At 34.8% G+C, this 6,351-nt stretch overlaps 1 annotated feature.

The window, feature by feature from the left end:
* Positions 1,370 to 1,871: an enhancer, noted in NCBI's record as "NANOG hESC enhancer chr6:57579775-57580276 (GRCh37/hg19 assembly coordinates)". NCBI's record gives its function as "activates a minimal SCP1, AML or CMV promoter by ChIP-STARR-seq in primed H9 embryonic stem cells {active_cell/tissue: H9 hESC(primed)}" and the evidence as "EXISTENCE:reporter gene assay evidence [ECO:0000049][PMID:30033119]".

Below are 6,351 nucleotides of genomic sequence, written 5' to 3' on the forward strand. Positions count from 1 at the left end.
TGTGGTTTTGATTTGTATTTCTCTAAAGATCAGTGATATTGAGATTTTGAAAATATGATTGCTGGCCATGTGTATATCTTCTTTAGAAACGTGTCTGTTCATGTCCTTTGCCCACTTTTTAATGGAGTTGTCTCTTTCTTGTAAATTTGTTTAAATTCCTTATTAATCCTGGATATTAGGCCTTTGTCAGAGGCATAGTTTGCAAACATTTTCTCCCATTCTGTAGATTGTCTGTTTACTCTGTTGATAGTTTCTTTTGCTGTGCAGAAGCTCTGTAATTAGATCCCATTTGTCAATTTTTGCTTTTGTTGCAATTGCTTTTGGCATCTTTGTCATGAACTCTTTGCCCATTCTTATGTTCAAGATAGTACTGTCTAGGTTGTCTTCCAGGGTTTTTATAGTGTTATTCTTTACATTTAAATCTTTACTCTATCTTGAGTTGATTTATGTTTATGGTGTAGGGAAGGGGTCCAGTTTCAATACTCTGTATATGGCTAGCCAGTTCTCCCAGCATTTATTAAATAGGGAACCCTTTCCCCATTGCTTGTTTTTGTTGGCTTTGTTGAAGATCAGATGGTTGTAGGTGTGTGGTCTTATTTCTGGGTTCTCTATTCTGTTCCATTGGTTTATGTGTCTATTCTTGTACCAGTACCATGCTGTTTTGGTTAGGTTACTGTAGCCCTGTAGTATAGTTTGAAGTCAGGTAACATGATGCCTCCAGATTTGTTCTTTTTGTTTAGGATTGCCTTGGCTTTTGGGCTCTTTTTTTGGTTCCATATGAATTTTAAAATAGTTTTATTCTAGTTCTGTGAAGAATGTCAATGGTAGTTTAGCGTCAATAGCATTAAATCTATAAATTGCTTTTGGCATTATGGTCATTTTAACAATACTGATTCTTCCTATCCATGAGCATAGAATGTTTTTCTATTTGTTTGTGTCATCTCTGATTTATTTGAGCAGTGTTTTGTAATTTTCCTGTAGAGATCCTCCACTTCTCTTGTTAGTGATATTCCTAGGTATTTTATGCTTTTTGGGGCAATTGTGAATGGGGGTTCATTCATGATTTGCATGCCTAATAATTCTAAAATTATGTCTGACATTGTGAGTTTTACGTTTTGCTGAAATTATTTGTATTCCTTTAAAGAGTGTTGGGTTTTATTCTGGTGTGTAGTTTCATAACTTGCAGGTAAATTGGAAACTTTTAAGACTTAATTTTAAGCTTTGTTAGGTGTTCCCAGAGAAGCCTTTATCCTGGGATTAATTTAGCTCCAATATTAAGGCAGGACCCTTCTGTGGACTGTATGCAATGACCCATGTTAGGAGGTCTCTTCATTCTGGCTTGTGGAAACATAAGCTATTTTCACTTCTGTGTGAGCCCTGAGAAGCTGTTTTATAGCTTTCCTAAGTCTTTGGTTGTTTCTTATCATTCATGAGTAGGTCAGTATTCAGCCAAAGACTCAAGAAGATCCCTATGCAGAACTCCAGAGCTCTCTGTGAAGTTATGTTATGCAATGAACTGTATACCATAAAATTTATGTATTGAAGCCCTAATCCCTAATGTAATGGTATTTGGAGATGGGGCCTTTGGGAGACAATTGGTCTAGATGAGGTCATGGGGTGGTGTTCTCAAGTGTGACTCCCTCACCCTCTCCTTCTCCTTCCCCCACTCCTCTCTCTGCCATGTTAGGGTACAGCAAGAAGCCAGTGATCTGCCAACCAGGAAGAGAGTCCTCATCAGAACCTGGCATCCTGATCTCAGACTTCCAGCCTCTAGAACTTTCAGAAAATAAACCCCTGCTTTCTAAGCCACCAGCCATGGTATTTCGTTATGACAGCCTGAGCTGAGTCAAGTTGTCTCCTCTTTGTTTTTAAATCTGCAAGTTATAGGAGTCTCCACCTTCCCAAACTTTAATCCCTATTCCTTAATTTGGAGCCCCCTCCTTGACTGTGATCGAAAACTGTTTGAAGGCATTAACTTAGAGTTCACTGATAATCTTGTTTCCCTTTTCTCAGGGATCACATTCTGTTGCCCAGAATCTGAAAAACTTTGTTTTATATAATTTATCTGGTTTTCTTGGCTATGGTGAAGTGGCAATTCCTATGGCAGGCTAACCCTCATAGGCAGAAACCTGTGTCTTTTTAATACAATCTCATTTTATTTTATTGCTTCTGGATGTTGAATGATAGTTTGAAACATTCCTCCCTCTCCCAGGTAATAGAGGAATTTACCCATGTCTTAGTCTAATAGTTCTGTATTTTCTTTTTAACAAATTTAGTATATTTAACAAATTAGTATATGATGAATATTTTTATCTCTAAAAATTATTTTTGTTTAAAGTGGAAGTTATTAATCCTCATTCTGTATCATAAGTACCCAGGGAACTTTTAGAAACATCCATGCCCAGGCCTCACTTTTAGAGGTTAATCGGTGGGGGTAAGACATTGGTAACTTAAAAACATTTTCCAAAATTATTATAATGTGTAAACAGGTCTGAGAATGATTAAAGTCTTCTTTTTTCTTTCTGATATTAATCCAGCACCTTTGACCAGCCATGAAACCTTCTTTCCAATATTAATTATACTGGATTTCATTTGATTAGTTTTTTCTTAGTAGTTTTTCTATGCTTTAACTTTCTAACTTTTTTTGTTCTTTATATTTTAAACTCATCTTTTTGTTTATTTGTCTTTTATAAGTAGCATAAACCTGGATTTTAAACAAATTCTCTAATTTGAAACATTTATCTCTTTGCTGGTATGTTTAGTCCATTTACTTTTATTGTTATTTCTAATATTTTGGATTTACTTATACTAGTTTACTTAGCATTTTCTCTGTGTACTGCTTTTCCTATATCCCCTTTTTCTTCCTTTCTGATTTTCTATCTTCTGAATTTATTACAGTCAAAAACTTTCACCCCCCGCCCCCGCTGCCAACATCTGGTTTGGAAGTCACACACTCTACTTCCATTCTTTTTGTGATTACTTTTGAAATTATTATGGAATATACCTAAAGCCTAAAGTTAATAAATATCTTAACCTCCTTCTGAACTTTGGAAAGACCTTAGAACACTTGAATTCTAATTATATGTTTGTATCGTATATCTAATTTTTGCCCAATATTTTTAAGTCTATCATATTTTAAACACCACAAATTAGATATTATTATTTTATATGGATATATTTTAGATTTATTATCATGTTTACCAAGAAGACACGGAAAGACAGAAATAAGTACTGAGAGTTAATATGTAGAAAAGTGGCAAATGAATTTGAATACCAAAATAGAATTATAAAATAGATACACACCTTCTCTGTATGAAAGCAAAAATTTGTGGTTGCAAACTAAAGACAAAGAATTGTTATAGAATGTTTTCTGATGACATCAGATCAACCTAAGGCTAAAATTTAAAATAGTTGGCATTTTTATCAAGGAAATGAAAATCCAAACAATATATTCTATAATGTTATTATAGTATTTTCATCTGAAATCTGGAAGAGTGTAGTTAATTCTAATGCATCTCAAGAGAGATATGGTAGATCAATGACCAAAGATGTGTTTCTGGCTTTGGTAATAATAGCCATCATATAAAGGACAATTGGGAAACTTCAATCTAGGAGGTTAAGGCTAAAGAAAGACATGACTAAAATTTATAAATTAAGCAGTGTATAAGGTAATACATGATCTTCATCAAACTCTGAAGGAACAGTGTGTCATTCTTTAAAACTTGTTCCTGCATTTAAGCAAATGAAGGACATAATTTTGGAAGATGTGTGGAGCTTAATAAACGGGGGCAGTTATAAATGAATTCATGGTCATTTGCGTGAATTTAGGAATGGCAAAGCTACAAGGAGATAGAAAAAGAAGCTGGAATATAAATGTGAATATATTATGTGCACATGCATGTGTGTGCACACGCACGTACACACGTGCCCACACACACAACCACATCATGTCACTTGGAACCATTTGGTACAGCAGAATACTAGATTGTATTGTCCAGTTTGACAATTTCCACATTTTGATATTGCAGTGAGAGAATGAAAATGTATTTTGGAGCAGATATCAAGAAAAGTCATACTGTATTGGTGGAACTTGAGCTAATAAATCATTGAGAGAAGGCTAGAGAGTGAAGAGGATAAGATGTTTCAAGATACCTGCCAGACAGTGGGGGGTGAGAGGGAAAAGCAGGGAGACTGAATTTAGCCAGTTTGAATAATAGATCCTTGTTATCACATGAGCACTGAATTGAAAGCTTCCTGAGAGTTGGAATAGTGTAAGATAGGAGGATAGACTCTAGGCCAGTGGAGCCCAACAGAGCTATTACTTGTGCTAGTTATTAAAAAGACAAAAAATAACAGATGCTGACAAGGCTGTGGAGAAAAGAGTATGCTTATAAACAGTGGGAATGTAAATTAGTTCAGCCACTGTGGAAAGCAGTTTGGAGATGTCTCAATGAACTTAAAACAGAACTACCATTTGACTTAGCAATCTCATCACTGGGTATATACCCTAAGGAAAAGAAATCATTTTACAAAAAAAAAAGACACATGCACTCGTATGTTCATCACAGCACCATTAACAATAGCAAAGTCACGGAATCAATCTAGGTGCCCATCAGCAGTGGATTGGGTAAAGAAACTGGTACATATACACCACAGAATACTATGGAGCCACAAAAATAATGAAATCATGTTCTTTGCAGCAACATGGATGCAGCTGGAGGCCATCATCTTAAGCAAATTAATGCAGGAACAGAAAACCAAATACTGCATGTTCTCACTTATAGGTGGAAGTTAAACTTTGGGTACATATGACATAAAGATAAGAACAATAGTCACTGGGCACTACTAGAGGGAGGATGAAGGGAGTGGGGAAAGGGCTGAAAAACTATTGGGTACTATGCTCAGGACCTGGGTGATGGGTTCAGTCATACCCCAAACCTCAGCATCATGCAATATACCCATGTAACAAACCTGCACATGTACTTCTTGAATCTAAAACAAAAGTTGAAATTATTAAAAAAGGTAGTTCCTATGCAGTAAAAAAGAAATATAATGTGAGGCATATCTGTACTTTTAAATTTTCTTATGCAAAAGAAATAGATGATACTGTACTGATATGTTTTTATTGAACCCAATATATCTAAAATATTTCCATATGTAGTCAATATAAAAAATTACCAATGAGATAATTTACAGTCTTGTTTTTAATACCAAGTCTTCAAAGTCTAATTTTACACTTATACCATATATTAGTTTGGAAGCTAAATTTTCATCAGAAATACTTTTTTTAATTTTATTTTTTTTTTATTTTTAACAGATATTTATTTCTTAGACTGTTGAATCACCTTCTATTCCATAGAACAGTTACATTTCAGGACACATTAATGTCCTCCACTTGAAAATAATAATAGTGATCATGTTCAAATGAAGGGTTTCTCAAAGTGAAGTCTGCATACCCCCTGAGGACTTGATTCCAGATGTTCATTCCAAATGCAGATTCCAGGGCTCTCTGTCGAGAGTTTTATTTAACCTGCCTAGAGGAGATCCAGGTATCTTCATTCTATTGAGTTCCTATAGAGATTTCTGAAACATGCTAATTAGATTTAGAAATATTTCATAATTTGTAAATTTATTTATATATGAAGCTTGAAAAACAGTAGAAAAATGAAATCTAAGTTGTATATAATGAAATGCTTCTGTGGAGTGAGGTGATGAGGAACACAGGGTAAATAAAGTCTAACAATAAATAAAAGCATATCACGGAAAACCAAACCTCCCTATTATCCTATCTTCCAGTCTTCTTTTTATTTATTTATTTATTTATTTATTTATTTATTTATTTATTTATTATTATACTTTAAGTTTTAGGGTACATGTGAACATTGTGCAGGTTAGTTAAATATGTATACATGTGCCATGCTGGTGCGCTGCACCCACTAACTCGTCATCTAGCATTAGGTATATCTCCCAATGCTATCCCTCCCCCATCCTCCCACCCCACAACAGATCCCAGAGTGTGATGTTCCCCTTCCTGTGTCCATGTGATCTCATTGTTCAATTCCCACCTATGAGTGAGAATATGCGGTGTTTGGTTTTTTGTTCTTGCAATAGTTTACTGAGAATGATGATTTCCAATTTCATCCATGTCCCTACAAAGACATGAACTCATCATTTTCTATGGCTGTATACTATTCCATGGTGTGTATTTGCCACATTTTCTTAATCCAGTCTATCATTGTTGGACATTTGGGTTGGTTCCAAGTCTTTGCTATTGTGAATAATGCCGCAATAAACATACGTGTGCATGTTTCTTTATAACAGCATGATTTATAGTCCTTTGGGTATATACCC

The sequence above is a fragment of the Homo sapiens genome, chromosome 6 (assembly GCF_000001405.40).
Source record: "Homo sapiens chromosome 6, GRCh38.p14 Primary Assembly".
Classification (NCBI taxonomy): Eukaryota; Metazoa; Chordata; class Mammalia; order Primates; family Hominidae; genus Homo; species Homo sapiens.